Here is an 18358-nt window from a genome sequence, read left to right on the forward strand (position 1 = left end):
TTTTCATCAAAATTATTCAACAACTCTCTAGAAAGTTCCAAACTTTCCCATATTATTTTGTCTTCTTCTGAGCCCTCCAAACTGTTCCAACCTCTGCCTGTTACCCAGTTCCAAAGTTGCTTCATATTTTTGGGTGTTTTTACAGCAGTACCCCTTTCTACCAGTACCAATTTACTGTATTAGTCTGTTCTCATGCTTCTAACAAAGACATACTTGAGACTGGGTAATTTATAAAGGAAAGAGGTTTAATGGATTCACAGTTCCACATGGCTGGGGAGGCCTCACAGTCATGGCAGAAGGTAAAGGAGAAGCAAAGGCATGTCTTCCATGGTGGCAGGCAAGAGGGAGTGTGAAGGAGAACTCCCCTTTATAAAACCATCAGATCTCATGACACTTATTCACTATCATGAGAACAGCATGGGAAAGACCCACCCACATGATTCAATTACCTCCCACTGGGTCCCTCCCACAACACATGGGAATTATGGGAGCTAAAATTCAAGATGAGATTTGGGTGGGGACGAAACCAAACTATATCACCTTGGTACCCTTTCTAGCCATAAAAAGTAAACAATAAGGACTTTTATGTTAATATTCCTGCATTTATATGTAGCTCTTATAATATTAAAGTGAGATTACCTTGATTATTTTTTCCAGAGAGTAATTTTCTGCATTCCTCAACATAGGAGTGAAAAAAAAACTGTTGAAGTGAGATTTGTTTTGGCATGTGAATCATATAAATACAAAATTTACTTGCTTTAAGGGTCTTTGATCTGGCATTTAATGTAAATTAAGTCATGCTTGTAAACAAGTTTTTTCTAAATCTTTATGAGTCTACTTGCCAGAGTAGTAAGCTCTTGGTCATCTTTTTCTGCCATTTTTTTGCAAGAAAAAATATATTTCAGTAAAAACATAATAAATATTATGGATCATCTTCTAGAAAGGATAAATATTTTATATCCCTTTCAATATAAGTGTGTATATTTAGAGGGAACTGTGCATCTCAATTATGGAAACTTATTTGTTTTTTTCATCAGCATACAGATAAATTAATGCATTAGTATTGTCTGAAACTGTAACAAATTCTTGACATGATCCCCATCCTGCCCTCACTGGGGATAACCACTATTCTCCATTATAACTAAACACTTATTTATTATATAAGACATATTATATCTTGAAACTTATTCTGATAAAAACAGTATTCAATGAAAGATATTAAAATGTAACATTTTAGTGACTATTCTTGTTAATAAACTTGAATAGTCTCAATGTTGTAGAAGATAGGCATTGTATTGCCTGTTTATTCATTTTGTTTAATACCATTGTTCACTTTAGCTGGAAATATTATCACTTTGAGGGATCTCTCTTTCCTTCCTTATGATATTTGAACAGAGAAGGCAGCTGGAAGCAGAGGCACCTTTTTTCTCTGAGACTCTGTGAAGTGTACATCTGTACCTGTGCCATCTATGCTTGTTCTTTGTATTTCCAAAAGCCAATGTGAAAATGGGTCATTCTGTTCTTAGTAAAGGAGTAATATTCTTCCTGCCAAAATTAATGGATATCACATCATTCACATCATTGATCAGTATCCCTTTCATATTTATATTAGAACAGAACATTGAGACGTTTATTGGATCCATTCCCTTTGCCTCATTTCTTCTTATGCAGTTTATCCTAAAATGAAGATCAGGGACAACACTGCTTGGTGTTCTGTTCTAACTTCTGTGTTTGTACCTTCAGCATATGTTTTGATTACAGTAGAAGTCGCATAAAATCTGAGTTTTCTGCCCAACTTCTACACATTTCAGGAAAGAGGTTGTTACTGCAACCAACAAAAAAGAAAACCAATAAAAAACAAAGATTTAAAGTAGACTACATCACTAAAGCATATTGTGTTTGATGCTGAAATATTTTAAAAACATATAAAATTTAAAAACTCATCTCTGATAATCTATTTTTGTTTTACAGTTCTGAATACTCATTGTACCTTTCTTAAGGAAGCTGATACTTGATATGAAGAAACTGAGGCACCGAATTTAGGTTTTTGTGAACTGTTTATAAATTAAATCATTTGCATCATTAGAACACAATACAAAATTGAAGAAAAGATTAATAAAAAGGCCCCTTTCAGTAAACTTAAAGAAGACATAAACAGATGATCAAGATATCTCAATTTGTTTGCTATAAATGAAGAAACAGAAATAGTTTTTCAGAGCTGCTATTTTATTATTTATGTTTGGTAGGACATTTTTTAAAGAGAAAGAGAAACAAGACTATGGAATATATAACCATCACTCCTCATTCATTTACTCTCACAAATATTTACTGAACACTTTACTGTAAGTAAAATTGAGTAAAAGCACAATTCTTTGCCTTTCTACTTGTACTTTTTAAATTGAATCATCTGACTCATAACAGTGAAATTATAGCCCATAGGATTTTTCAACACAGGGAAGCATTATGTTATGACTAAACAAGTACACATTTAAAAAGTTTGATTAGTGGGTGCACACACACGTACACACACGTAACAATATATAGCATGTATATGTGTGTGTCAAACAGTATTATATATTTTTTTACATAAGAACACTGTTTAATCTTTTGAAAGGTGGTTACAAACCAACAGAAAGACATTTCTCTTATATTAACTAGTATGTTAATTAATAAATTAAGATTATTTAATTTCTCCTATCAAGACTTAAAGTCTAGTAATAATTATTACCTATATTAAGTCCTTTCAATTTGTGTAATATATTTACTGTATTACATCTCTTCATATTTTAGTATTATATTACTCTGAATACTATCTTCTCCAATCATTGGACATTTTCTTTTCTAAAAGTGACTCAAAAAGAAGGCAACTTTTATATTCTTTTACCTTACATTTTTATATCTCTTGGATCATATAAAGATTTATTTTAAAAGGAAAAGGCAATTTAAAATTTTTGCCTTATAGGCTTATAAATCTCTCTTTCCCATCTATATATATCTATACATATAGACATAGATATATATAGACATATCTATATAGATATGGGCCTTTGGGGCAATTTATTAAAAAATTCTATCCTCTCCCCTGATTGTACTGCCTTTAATTATATTAACTAGGTTTGCATGAGATTTCTCTGAAAGTTAATTGAACCCATGTAAAACCTAGGCATTTGGTAATCATACTCTTTTTTTATTATTATTATACTTTAAGGTCTAGGGTACAAGTGCACAACGTGCAAGTTTTTTACATATGTATACATGTGCTATGTTGGTGTGCTGCACCCATTAACTCATCATTTACATTAGGTATATCTCCTAATGCTATCCCTCCCCCCTCCCCCTACCCCATGACAGGCCCCAGTTAGTGCTGTTCCCCATCCTGTGTCCAAGTGTTCTCATTGTTCAATTCCCACCTATGAGTGAGAACATGCGGTGTTTGGTTTTCTGTCCTTGAGATAGTTTGCTCAGAATGATGATTTCCAGCTTCATCCATGTCCCTACAAAGGACATGAACTCATCCTTTTTTATGGCTGCATAGTATTCCATGGTGTATATGTGCCACATTTTCTTAATCCAGTCTATCATTGATGGACATTTGGGTTGGTTCCAAGTCTTCACTATTGTGAATAATGCCACAATAAACATACCTGTGCATGTGTCTGTATAGCAGCATGATTTATAATCTTTTGGGTATATACCCAGTAATGGGATTGCTGGGTCAAATGGTATTTCTAGTTCTAGATCCTTGAGGAATTGCCACACTGTCTTCCACAATGGTTGAACTAGTTTATAGTCCCACCAACAGTGTAAAAGTGTTCCTATTTCTCTTTGCCTAGGTGGATATAAAATTGAGTTCCAATTCTAATGTGTCCAGACAATTTTAACCATTTAGTTTTAAAATGTAATAAAAGATAAATAAACAATAACTTGCTCAGTTTTCTTTCAATTACATCAATGGTTAGAAAAGCCAAATTCAGTCAGCTCAAGATGAGTTATTTACAAATCAGCCTACTTGGAAACAGATTAGCAATTTAAATAGCTAAGTTAATAAGATCCAATTATAGCTAATTTGCCCATCCTTTCTTTCCCTTGCCCTCCCACAGGCTTCAGAGTGTGACTGCTTTGCATGAATTCCTGGGAGCAATGGGGAGGCTTGTGGGGCAGGCGAGTTTGCAAGAAAAACAAACACAGTCATTTTTATTATTACACTTGTTGCAGCTGTACTGGACTCTGCAGCCTAGCAGTATGTGGGGGCACCAGCATAGCCCAAGTCTCTCACAGTTCTAAACTTTTCGGTTAAAGATTATAGACATATGTATACTTTATATATATATATGTATGTATGTATGTATGTATAAGTATATATATATATGTGTGTGTATGTATATAAAAAGTATATATTTCTTTTTATCAGTAAAGCTTACAAGCAACCTCTACTAGCATACCAGATGGGATAAGGAAAGGAAAGGATTGATACAGAAAAAACATCTGAGATTAAACACACACACACACGCACACACATACACACACAAGAGTATGTATTATATAATGTATGTGGGTATATTCATGTGTCTACACATATGCAAAATGCTATTCTGATTCCTTGATTTCCTTCCTCTCTTATCTGGCTCACTTTTTCTAATACTCCTTCATTTCACACTTCTCCCACTTTGTTTTCATACAGCCTATTCTCTGAAATTTTTCAAAGCTTTCCCCCTCTTGTCGTTTAATTCTGTAATCCTTTTCCATCTTTCAAATACTAAATCCTCCTGCTCTGTGCCTTAAAATTTTTTTGAAAGCCTACCTTTGTTCATTTTTATGTCAACATCTATGCCTCTACAATGTTAACTCATTGATGTTTATAAACATCTTTGTTTTATTATTTAAGAAATGTCAGTGTTATCAGTAATAATATATTTTAAATTTATGAGATTTTAGAGGACTTTTCCTTATTGCAGGACAGATTAACTTTACATTGATTTTCTCGTTACCTGTGCTAAAATACATCTGAATTTTATTTATTTTGCCAAGCACTGTGTTTTTCAAGAAAGATATTTGTATATTCATATTACATTTTTGTAATTGAAAAGCTACAGGATGTGAAGGCAAATAGTTGAGGAATTTGGGGATAGACATTACTAAGAAAATTAACAAATATGGCATCTAGAGCTTAGAAGCAGCTTCTGCTAGTAGTGTACTATATGGGATAAGGAAAAGATAGGATTGATATAGAAAAATCGTCTAAGATTTATGTTTAGGGATGTGATAGAACAAAGCATCCTTAAGAATTGTTAAATAGTTAAAATATCTTTCAAATAATAAAAAATAGAAATAGGGGGTGCAATTGGTTAAAAAAATGGGAAAGATGGTTTGTTAGTTAAGAAACTATATTCTGCACTTGTACATACCAGATCACTTCTGGTATGTACAAGAAAAAAGAAATAATGTTTCAAGTTTGATGATTATTTTTACCTTTAATATAACATTTGTTTCAGACAGATTATATTCCCCTGATCCAGGAAATGATGAACACATATACCTATCAGGTTAGCCCTCAGAATGTTTAGTGGACATAATATTTCATATACCCAGATTACTCATATTTTAACATCACTGAATGGCCTTTAGAAAAGGATTTGTAATGAATTAGAATGCATAACGTGAATTTTAGAACAACACACCTGCTGAACGTCGGCCTCTCCCACTGCTAAGTTGCACAGTCAAAACAAGCCCTTTCACGTTGGAGAATACATTTTTAAAAAATAAAGAAAGGGGAAAAATAACAAAATGAATATTTAATAAGTTCACATAAGGATATACAGGAAATAATATGTCTTTGTTTAATGGACACTTAGGCTCATTTTTTATACTTAAATTATCAGTTTTAGATAAAGCAGATCTTAAGATTATCAGTTATGTTATAATAGCCGTGATTATTAGACAGTAGTCATAAAAATGAGAAATTTACAACTCAGCCACTTCAAGAGTGCTTTTCCTGGCCAGGCGTGGTGGCTCATGCCTGTAATCCCAGCACTTTGGGAGGCGGAAGTGGGTGGATCAGAAGGTCACGAGATCAAGACCATCCTGGCCAACATGGTGAAACCCTGTCTCTACTAAAAATACAAAAATTAGCCGAGCATGGTGGCACATGCCTGTAATCTCAGCTGCTTGGGAGGCTTAGGCAGGAGAATCGCTTGAACTTGGGAGGCAGAGGTTGCAGTGAGCCAGGATGGCGCCACTGCTCCAGCCTGGCAACAGAGTGAGATTCCGTCTCAAAAAAAAAAAAGTGCTTTTCCTACTTAAATTACTCAAGTATGTTTCAGATAATTCATTACTACTATGCATGCATTGTATAACTAGTCCATGCTAAGTATAAGATGCCTGGGAACTATGTGTATAGAAGATCTAGAGTACAGGGAAATTCCTTTTGCTTAGATTGGCTAATCCAAGGCCAATTATTTGATAAGGTTATTGTACCTAAGTCACTAATACATACCTGTCTATCTCTATTCTTTGTTGCTAAAGTTAAGGCTTTGAGGTAGCCATTGTTTCTTCTAGTACTCAACTCACAAATAGTGTGTATTGCTGGTCTGAGACATGCAGTAGGAGATCGGATGCATGATACATGTGGTTCTGTTCTTCTCCCAATATACCCCCAGCTCTAGAGGAATGGTGATATCACAACAGCACGAAGAACACCTCCCAATTTCCTGGCAGCAAAGCCTAGATGAGAAGCAATGAATGGAAAGGAAAAAAAAAAAATGAACAAACAAAATCAGAAAGAGTGAATGTCCTAAAGGAGTGGAAGTCTATTCTTCCTTTCATGGCCCTTCCTTCCAATATGTTGTTAATTGGTCAAAGGGTACAAAGTTCCCGTTAGGTTGAATAAGTTCTGGGTATCTATTGTGCATCATGATGACTGTAGTTAATAATAGTGTATTGTATACTTGAAATTTGCTAAGAGCAGATTTAAGTGTTCTTACCACAATAGACGTAAGTGTGTGAGGTGATGGATATGTTAATTAGCTTGATGTGCGAAAAAGTCACATTGTACACTGTAAATAAAAAACATTAAGAAAACAACACCTTAGCATTGTGGGGATTCAGAACATCATGCCCCAGAATATGGCCCCTTGACAACAGAGAAAAGTACAGAGCAAGTTACTCTGACCTTCTCCTGCCTTTCTCCCCTGAAACAAGTTCATAAAGGAATTCTCTGACCTACCTTGCCTAAAAGTGAGTATAACACCTTCATTCCTGAGAGATCCTGCCCTGTACCTGGGATGGAAGGAATATTATACTGAGACACAGGAAATAATTTGAACAAACAGGCCTTGCTGAAGTTTCTTACTGTTTATTACCATTAGATCCCACCCCTTATTGTCCAATCATGTTTCTCTACAACTATCCAGTTATTTCATCAGACTTAGCATAAATGTACAGTTTGGGGGTTTTTGGGTCTTTATTTTTGAAGGTTCCTGTGTTATGTAAAACTTTTTAAAAATGAATTTGCCATGCTTTTCTCTTATTGATCTGTCTTTTGTTACAGGACTTTCAGCCAGGACCCTGGCAATGAGTAAGGAACATATATTTTTCTCTTCTACAGTATTCATATTCATATTTTGCCAATATTCTCTTAACCAAATTAGTGAATTGCAGGGCTGTCTATTTCCATAGTAGCTCAGTTGATTGTTCCTAGTAACTCTTTATGAATATTACCTTGTTCTTCAATGCTCCTTTCCTTTTATCATCAGTAAGCTATAATATTTACTAGCTAGTATCCTCAATATGCATCTCATCTGTGAATAATCGTAGCCATGTGAAGCAAGCCTATAAAGGGATGACAAATCTGGGATATCCATGACACTACTCCCCTCTCCTGCTTTTAAGAGACACTCATCATCAATCATTGCTTTCTTTTTCCTACTGAACTATGCAGGCATCACAGTTGTTCTTGACCTTGTGTTCAGACAGCCACCACTGATCAATCAGTGTTAGCACAAAATAAAACTTGCTGGATATCATTTTTCTCTATGGTCCCATTCTCATCTTAAAACAAAACCGAAACCTGACCCCATGTTGCATGTTAGCTATCACTCCTTGTTCTCTCCTTTCCTTAGCTAAGCTCTTTGAGTGTCTACACTAGCTGGCCCACTTCCACACTTCACTTTCACTATTCAACACATTGTGGTCTAGTGTGTGTCTCCTGCTCCACTGAAGCTGTGCTGAGAAGCTCAGGTTGTATGGAGCTTGTAGCCACTGTGTTTCTGCCTCAAATTTTTTCTTCCCTGGGGCTCCCTCCTACTTCCTCTTCTGTTTCTCTTCTTGCCTGTCTTCTGACAACTCATGAAGTGCCTACGGCTTAGCAATTGTTTTCCCTGGGATGTCCTTTGTCAATCACTATTACTCTCAGGGGTTTAATTATCACTCTTTTTTTTTTTTTTTTTAAGACAGATTTTTGCTTTTGTTGCCCAGGCTGAAGTGCAATAGCACGATCTCAGCTCACTGCAACCTCCGCCTCCCGGGTTCAAGCGATTCTCCTGCCTAAGCCTCCCAAGTAGCTAGGATTACAGGTGCCTGCCACTACGCCTGGCTAATTTTTGGTATTTTTAGTAGAGACAGGGTTTCACCATGTTGGCCACGTTCATCTCTAACTCCTGACCTCAGGTGATCTGCCCGCCTCAGCCTCCCAAAGTGCTGGGTGGGATTACAGGCGTGAGCCACCGCGCCCAGCCAATTATCACTCATATTTTGAAGACTCTCAAGTCTATATCCCCTGCCTTAGCCCTTTCTCTGATGTTTATTTAGTCTTGTATATCAAAATATCTAGTGACCATGTCTTCTCAGTAATCCACAGGAAACGCGTATGTATCATTTACACATCCTGTAGTCTCCTTCCTACAGTGATATCATCGTCAGCCAGTCATGCCTAGTTTGCTGGACACAGGCATTATCCATCGCTTTTGATACATCTCTTTCACCTCAACTGAATCAACTGTCAAGTTCCAAATTAAATAGTTCTTTATTTTTTTCTTCTTCTCTATTTCTTGTCACCACTACCCTGACTCAAGGCTTATAATCTTTTAACTAATCTCCTACTTTCTCATTCTACTGGTCTTATATCCATTCTTTGCACTTCAGTTAAAGAGAACTAAATATATTTTAAATAAACATCCAACCATGCCATTCACTTAATCAAAATGTGTGGAGGCCTCCCTAATAACTATGCAATAAAGGCAAGTCTCCTTAGCATAAAATAAATAGCCTTCCATGATCCAAACCTTCTTAACTCTATCTTTGGGTCTAACACTATAATGATACTGGAAGATATGTTGCTCTTTGCATAAACCGTGGTGTTCCTGACTTTATATCTTCACCCTTAGTGTTACTTAGGATGCCATTTCATTTTTTCTTTGTTGGTCTTTTATACATAATTTAGAATGTTCTGTATATACTTCATCCGCTCTATAAAACCTTCACAGAGGTTTCATCTAGCTTTAAATCCTATTCTCTGAATGCCAGTAACAATGTTATTTTTCATGCAGTGGGTTGCATCATATTCACATTTAACTTAAGTTGCTAATTTTAGAATCTAACTCTGAATGAGGAGTGAAATGCAACTTGATCCATTGTGTTCAATGTTCAAGAACAGAAGCATGATGGCTATTAAGTAGGGCCACTTGAGGTGGGGGGAGGGGGGAGGGATAGCATTAGGAGATATACCTAATGCTAAATGACGAGTTAATGGGTGCAGCACACCAGCATGGCACATGTATGCATATGTAACAAACCTGCCCATGTACCCTAAAACTTAAAGTATAATAATAATAAAATAAATTTTAAAAAAAAGGAAATGGACTATGGGATCACAAATCTCTTAGTGGCAATATAACGAAATGTAATATTTTAGCAAAATAAATACACATTGTTTGGTCTTTGGACTTGCATCATTCTTTTAGGTCATTCTAAAAGTTTGTTTATATACATGTATACACGTGTATATATACGTGTATATACGTGTATACACGTATATATGTGTATATATACAAGTATATAAGTGTATATACATATATACGCATATACGTGTATATACGTATATATACGTATATGTGTATATATATACATATATATGTATATATGTGTGTGTCTATATATACACATATATGTATATATATGTGTATATATATATATATACACATATATGTATATATATGTGTATATATATATATATAGTTTTCAAGATGATGCTCTTCAGACTTGTTCAAAGCAACCAGAAATAAGCAATTTATTCCTGTTTCTCTGAGATTGCTTTTAGAAATGATATATAAGTACTAGAATTTTTTTTATAGTTTGATACTGATAATTGTGGGCTGTTCTTTTTTAGATAATTTGAACGTAAGTGCTAAAATTGTGTTTGGTTTTGGTTACTTTATATGTTTTAACTTTTATTAATTGCTTATTATTTCTACTATTGTTTAACAATTAAACATGTCTGGGATGTCTGTCTATTGTGACGGAAAGTGCTTTGCATCCTGTTTATTTCTTAGTGAAATTCTTGAATTTTCTTTTACTTGCTTGTCATATGTTCTTTTAAAAGTCAATAATCATATTCATACACTTACAATCCTTCTGGATTTCTGGACTCGTAGGAAAAAAATAAAATAAATATTTACCGTTCATTTTATTTAAAAAAAAAAAAAGTAGGGCCGCAGTAATTGACAGCATTTGAAAAGATAAGGAAGCACATACCCCAGTTCTTCTCTATACTTTTCAAAGTTGTAAATTTGATAAAGAAAGATTTAGATAAAATCCAGCAAACATTTATTGGTACCTACTGTGTGCCAGCCTTTAAGTTTATTACTTTTAAGCCTAACGAAAACAAAATCAACCTTGGTTTAGTTTAGAGAAGTGAGGTTTAGTATTAAAATAGAATTAACATGCAGACCAGCAGGGATTCTTTAAGACAGGGATCCCCAACCCCCAGGTCACAGACTAGGACCAGTCCATTGCCTGTTAGGAACCAGGCAACAGCAGCAGGAGGTGAGTGGTAGGAGACCGAGCGAAGCTTTATCTGTATTTACAGCCGCTCCCCATTGCTTTCATTAATGTCTTAGCTCTGCTTCCTGTTAGATCAGTGGCAGCATTAGATTCTCATAGGACTGAGAACTCTACTGTGAACTGTGCATGTGAGAGATCTAGGTTGCGTGCTCCTTATAAGAATCTAATGCCAGGCCAGGTGCAGTGGTTCACACCTGTAATCCCAGCACTTTGGGATGCTGAGGCAGGCATTTAAGACCAGCCTGGCCAACATGGTGAAACCCCATCTCTACAAAAACAAACAAACAAACAAACAAAACAAAAACATAAAAACAAAAAAACAATCTAATGCCTAATGACCTGTCACTGTCTCCCATCACCCCCATATGGGACTGTCTAGTGCAGGAAAACATGGTCAGGGCTCCCACTGATTCTACATTATGGTGAGTTATAATTTTTTCATTATATATTACAATGTAATAACAGTAGAAATAAAATTCACAATACATGTAATGCACTTGAATCATCCCAAAACCATCCTCACACCCCCACTGATCCATGGAAATATTGTTTTCCACGAAACCCATCCCTGGTGCCAAAAAGGTTGGGGACCACTGCTTTAAGATGTTCCATTGCCTCCATATTCACTTAATAGTCTTGTAACTGTGAACAGAAAAGTTGGCTATCCCGTCATTTCCACAAAACTTTGCTTTTGATTCTTCCTTTATTCTTACTCAGTGGTTCTTACTATGTAGAATGCAAAATCATCAGGACAATGATGGTGTACAAGATGTTATATATTGGATTTCCATGGATGATTTAAAGTATTTACAGTCTTTTCTCTATATGCCAAATGTGCTTACTTAGACTCTGTTATCACTTAAGATGGGATGCCAGTTAAGAAGTAACTCCATGATAGCTATCAACACTAGCTTTACAGATGACTTCACAATTACATAGGACACTCCTGGAAAGCATGAACATACTCTTATGTATTTCTGTATCCTCTAAGCCTAAGTTAGTGTCTGGAATGAATTAAGTGCCCAATAAATCTTCGTTAAACTGAACTAAACTGGAATTCAACACTGCTAGTACCCAAGATGGAGAGGATCTACTGTTCTCTTTTTTGATTGTTAACCACTCATTTATTCTTGTGCTGGAGAGTCTCACCTCTTAAGAGGAACCCACTAGGTTCTCTTGTGTGTGTGGATACAGAGATTTCAGAGGCCTGGCATGAGAAGCAGCAGCTTTTTAAAAGTCATTTTCAGGAAGAAAGCAAAAATAAATGAAAAGTTGAAGTTGATATGTATATAGGGGTGATGTTACTGGGTTTTTAAAAAAATAACAAAGACTGATGGGGTATGAATATAATGCTAAATATTTAGTATGCTAAATGACAAATTTTATTATTTTGATGTGTTTATACTTCAGTGTAACAAGACGTGGCCAGCAGTAACCATTCCACTCTGATCTTCACTAATCTGCCTTTAAATAGAGTGCTGGTGATTTCCCCTTTATCATTTTTTATTACGTCTATTTGATTCTTCTTTCTTTTCTTCTTTATTAGTCTTGCTAGCGGTCTATCCATTTTGTTGATCTTTTCAAAAAACCAGCTCCAGGATTCATTGAGTTTTTGAAGGGTTTTTCTGTGTCTCTATCTCCTTCAGTTCTGCTCTGATCTTAGTCATTTCTTGCCTTCTGTTAGCTTTTGAATGTGTTTGCTCTTGCTTCTCTAGTTCTTTTAATTGTGATGTTAGGGTGTCAATTTTAGATCTTTCCTGCTTTCTCTTGTGGACATTTAGTGCTATAAATTTCCCTCTACACACTGCTTTAAATGTGTCCCAGAGATTCTGGTATGTTGTGTCTTTGTTCTCACTGGTTTCAAAGAACATCTTTATTCCTGCCTTCATTTTGTTATGTACCCAGTAGTCATTCAGGAGCAGGTTGTTCAGTTTCCATGTAGTTGAGCGATTTTGAGTGAGTTTGTTAATCCTGAGTTCTAGTTTGATTGCACTGTGGTCTGAGAGACAGCTTTTGATAATTTCTGTTCTTTTACATTTGCTGAGGAGTGCTTTATTTCCAACTATGTGGTCAATTTTGGAATAAGTGCTATTCCTCAAGGATCTAGAACTAGAAATACCATTTGACCCAGCAATCCCATTACCGGGTATATACCCAAAGGCTTATAAATCATGCTGCTATAAAGACACATGCACACATATGTTTACTGCAGCACTATTCACAATAGCAAAGACTTGGAACCAACTCAAATGTCCATCAATGATAGACTGGATTAAAAAAATGTGGCACATATACACCATGGAATACTATGCAGCCATGAAAGGGATGAGTTCATGTCCTTTGTAGGGACACAGATGAAGCTGGAAACCATCATTCTGAGCAAAGTATCACAAGGACAGAAAACCAAACCACATGTTCTCACTCATAGGTGGGAATTGAACAATGAGAACACTTGGATACAGGATGGGGAACATCACACACTGGGGTCTGTCGTGGGGTGGGGGGAGGGGGGAGGGATAGCATTAGGAGATAGACCTAATGTAAATGACGAGTTAATGGGTGCAGCACACCAACATGGCACATGTATACATATGTAACAAACCTGCATGTTGTTCACATGTACCCTAGAACTTAAAGTATATTAAAAAAAACAGAGTGCTGAACCCATCTTTTTAAACATCTTTAAAAAAATAGTTATGTTGCCTGTGGAGTTTTAGAACTTAATGTAATGAAAGTACTATCTTTCTATGAACCTTACAGTTTGTTTTTGTTGTCATTTTTACCATTATTTGATAAAGGTAAGTAGACAAATAGATAACACATTCATATTGGACTATTCATTAAGAGGTCTAAGAAGAAAGGTACTCTTAAATTCACAAGTGGGGACTACAAAGCAATATGAAAATGATCAGGATTTCCGTTTTAATGAAATAATGGAATCACATTTAAAACATTATTTTATTTTTTTCCAATTAAAAAAATTAAAAATAGAAAACTCAAAAGCAAGATTTTTATTTTCTGAAATATATATGTATTGATCTGTTCCTTCATTGTATTGCCATGGTTGCAAACCAATGAAGGCCATATAGGAATAGTATTAACAATATTTCCTCTCTGGTAATGTTTGTTTGCCTAATGTTCTGTTTTTATATGTAATATTTTATGCGGGATTTTGTTCTTTAAAAAAAAATCAATAAAGTGCCATTGATTAACAACAACCAGACTACATGTTTTAGTAAACTGAACCACTTTGGCTATTACTGGTAGGATAGACACTTTTTAATATAAAATGCTGAGCCAGAGGAAAGCAAATAGATTTCTCTTTCTTTTAGCCAAAATGTAGAGAAAAGAGAGGCAAATGATTCACAATATAAAAAGTTTAAAAAAATCACACAATGAATTCGCTACTTACAAATGTACAGGAGTAACATATTGTCTGGTTCTCAGGGACTTGTTAAAGGGTGAAGATTAGTGTTCTGTTATGTAGAGTTAATTGTGTTGCATTAATGCCTTAAAATAACTTGGATGATTATGTAAAAAGCAGTTTTTAAATGTCGGTTAGAAAATATCTCAGTAAAAGATCATTTTGCCCTCTTCTTACTAATTATAACACTTAAAAGATATTATTTAAAATAATTAATGGTATACAAGTAGGGGGAAGAAAGCTAACTATTGTGTTTTAAGTGGCTGTTTATTTAGAGCCCTTGGACATCAATTATATCTCACAGTTATAAATGTACTTTCTAAGTAGCATTCAGAACAAAATAATGTGAGAATTTTTTTGACAAAAGTTAAATCACATTTGGGATACTGAAATGAAAATTGATGACCAGATTGTTGATGGACGATTTCATTCTCACTAAGCGAGCATCCTCCCACTAAACGAAAGAAAGGTCTTTGCATTATTAAAAGCCCATTCTGCAACACTGTTGGGAATTTGGTTGGGTCATGAATGCTGGCAGGTTGTCAGGGAAACAGGAATAATGCACTGAATGCATGGTCTTCTTATAAAATGGGCTTAATATTGCTACTTTTGATTTTCTAATTGCTGATCTAGAATTTCTAATAGTAACATTAAAGGAGAGGAACATATTTTCTAGTTTAATTACATATACCTCTCTGTTGGCTTAGTAGTAATAAAAATATTTTCTGTAGGTGTAGAATATCCTTACAGTCCAAAAGGAGAGTACATGTTCACAATTAAAGTTTGAAATTTGTGCTTTGATAACAGCATGTTTTATTCATTCATTTTTATAATAATATTACTGAGCCTGTATCATATAGTGATGAACTTTTCAGCTGTTTTGAGGGTTTGTGTTAGCCACATTCACATTTGTATAACCTGTGTTTCTTTTTTATTTTTCTTTATTTTCATTTTAGATTTAGGGGGTACATGCGCAGGTTTGTTACAAGGGTGCACCATGTAATGCTGGGGCTTCGACTTCTATTGAATTCATCACTGGGTAAACATAGTACCCAATAGGTATTAACAGTTTTTCAACTCTTGCCCTTCTCCCTCCCTCCCTCTTATGGAGTCCTCCATGTCTATTGTTTCCATGTGCACCCATTGTTTAGCTTCCACTTATAAGTGAGAACATGTGGTATTTGATTTTCTGCTTCAGTGATAATTCACTTAGGATAATGACCTCTGGGTCCATCCATGTTGCTACAAAAGACATGATTTCATTATTTTTATGGCTTTGTAATATTCTATGGTGTATATGAATCACATTTTTAAAATTCAGTCTACCATTAATGGGCACATAGGTTGATTCCATGTCTTTGCTGTTGTGAATAGCCCTGCAATACACTCACAAATGCAGATGTCTTTTTGATAGAATTACTTCTTTTCCTTTGAGTAGATACCCAGTAGTGAGATTGCTAGGTCTAATGGTAGTTCTGTTTTTAGTTCTTTGAGAAGTATCCATAGTGGTTTCCAAAGGAGTTGAACTAATTTACATTCCCTCCAACAGTGTAAAAGTGCCCCATTTTTTTCACATCCTCACCAACACCTGTTATGTTTTGACTTTTTAATAATAGACATTCTGACTGCTGTGAGACTTTATCTCATTGTGGTTTTAATTTATATTTCTCTGAAGATTAGTGATGTTGAGCATTTTTTCATGATTTTTGGCCACTTGTCTGTCTTTTGATAGTTTGTTACCCTTTTTTCTAACCACTTGTTTAGAAGGAGGCTTGGGAGAGTCCATTTCCAACTTACTTTCTCTGAGACAAACTGACTTTCGGATAGCATGACTGGACCTCATATAGTAACTACAAGTACAAGAAAAAATGTCTAATATGCTTCGATTGCAAATATGTATAATTATTTTAGTATACAGAAATGCAAGAAAATACAGAAATTGAGCATCCCCTTCAAGAGATGCTAAGGAATCCTAAAATGGGAGAAGGCTATAAAATGCTTGTTCATAAATTAGTATTTGAGTTTTCCAACATAAAACCAATAATCTGGCCATAAATAGTTGAATGCTTAAATTGTGCTCTAACATCATTGCCCATAAGCTAATAAACCTTAACTGTAAATTAGAGCACATTTTATGGATATGACAAATTTATCCAGAAGAATACCTTTTTCCTCAGCCTGCTTAAGCAAGCCTTCAATGTCTCTTTAATTAAACTTCTAAAATAAAAGTATTATCCTCATCTGATCCTGGAATTCAGGACCCTGCATTAGTTTCCCCCGAAATCATTCCCAGCTAATCTCCTGTAGTTTCCAACTGCTTGCTTTCTTCAGATAAACTTATTTCCCAGCCACTCCACTTGCTTGCTATGAGTTTCTGTGCAAGTTCTATTATGTCCCTTTATTTTATCTATGACTTGGTCTAAATAAAAGTGATGGGCACACAAAAGTGCTTAGTAACTTCTAGCCATTGTTTTTATCATCATTCCCAACTATGTGATTAATTCACTCTACTTCTGCTCAAAATGTCTCACATCCCTCTTGCCACCGTTCAAACCCTGCCGTGTTTCAAAGTAATATTAAAACATTTTTCTTTTACATTGTTTGTGTGCAAGAAATTAAAGACACTGTCACTGTACCTTAGTACTGCTTATGAGTTGGGAATAAATGTGTGGAGTTCCCCGGTGATGGCAGAAAGGGCAGGTCAAGTGTCCCAAGAACCTCACCAGGCAGGAGTATTTGATAATAATATTCAAGGGAAAATGACAACTGTTTTGAAAAGCATGCCATTGTGATAACATAAACTCAGTTTAGAATCATTTGGTATTAAAAGAATAAGTAATGGATATTGTTTCTTCCTTAAGATTCACACCATGTGGGTACTGTATAATTAGGAATTCTCTGTTATGCCTCAACCCACATGTTATATCCATATTACCATTGATTTCATAGCCGCAAAACCCACATTGTGTCTGGCAGGCAGGACTTTTCTCCACGCCAGATTTTCAGGTAAAAAATCTTAGAGTATGGTTGTCGAGGACATGAACTTGCCTTTTACCTAATTTACTGTTTACAAACTTGTGTGGCATTTGAGTTATGTATTTTGGTTTGAAACACAAATATTTTCCTTTGTTAGATTCAGCTAACAGTATTTTTAACTTGTTTTCATCCCCTAACCACCTTGCTGAAATTTCAGGGAGACTGGGTTCTTCTGGTTGCCATTTCCATTGTAATTTCCTTATGGTCTAGTCAAAATATTTTTATACTGTGTTTATTTAAAAGTGAAAAAGTTCCTTTCCATCCAGCCTAAGGGGATAGTATCTTTAGAACCAAGAATCTTTCATCTCCTCTTTCACTCTAAATATAACGGATACTTATCTTTTATTGAGGGAACTAAACAAAGAGTTCATCAGCTAATCTCTCTCGTGTGTCTATTTTAAGTTCCTTTACAAACAAAATATTTTACAGTCCCAACAGCCATAAAAGAAATTCCTGACCTTGCCCATTTTTGAGAGACTGGGAAGTCAAACTATACCCTATAGGAATCAGTCCTCAAAATCATTTCTTTTCTACTTCAGAAGTGTGTATGTGTTTTTTTAAAAACTGCTAATGAAAGCATTACAAAGATTAGCTTTTGAAGTGGCAAGCAGCTTTCATTTATTTTCCTTCTGGTATTCCCTCAGCCTCCAGCTAAAATTTAGAACCTTAAAAATGTTGCTCTTTGGTACTAAATTCAGTTGATATTCTATCAAAGTGTATTTGGTTTATCAAAGCTTCGTTCTTATCTTGCAACTCAGTATTCCCGAGAGAACACTAGTCAGGTTAGAACTGACAAGCCTGTGTCTAGTCCTTTCAAACTAGAATGCACTCCCTCACCTACTG

At 35.2% G+C, this 18358-nt stretch overlaps 1 protein-coding gene across 9 annotated transcripts in view, besides 1 other annotated feature; it reads left to right on the plus strand.

The window, feature by feature from the left end:
* The window catches only part of NKAIN2 (sodium/potassium transporting ATPase interacting 2), a 1021776-nt gene that overhangs the window by 214848 nt on the left and 788570 nt on the right, over positions 1-18358 (plus strand). The window lies entirely within an intron of this gene.
* Positions 10806-11307: an enhancer, noted in NCBI's record as "NANOG hESC enhancer chr6:124350663-124351164 (GRCh37/hg19 assembly coordinates)". NCBI's record gives its function as "activates a minimal SCP1, AML or CMV promoter by ChIP-STARR-seq in primed H9 embryonic stem cells {active_cell/tissue: H9 hESC(primed)}" and the evidence as "EXISTENCE:reporter gene assay evidence [ECO:0000049][PMID:30033119]".

This window comes from Homo sapiens, chromosome 6 (genome assembly GCF_000001405.40).
Source record: "Homo sapiens chromosome 6, GRCh38.p14 Primary Assembly".
NCBI classification, from domain to species: domain Eukaryota; kingdom Metazoa; phylum Chordata; class Mammalia; order Primates; family Hominidae; genus Homo; species Homo sapiens.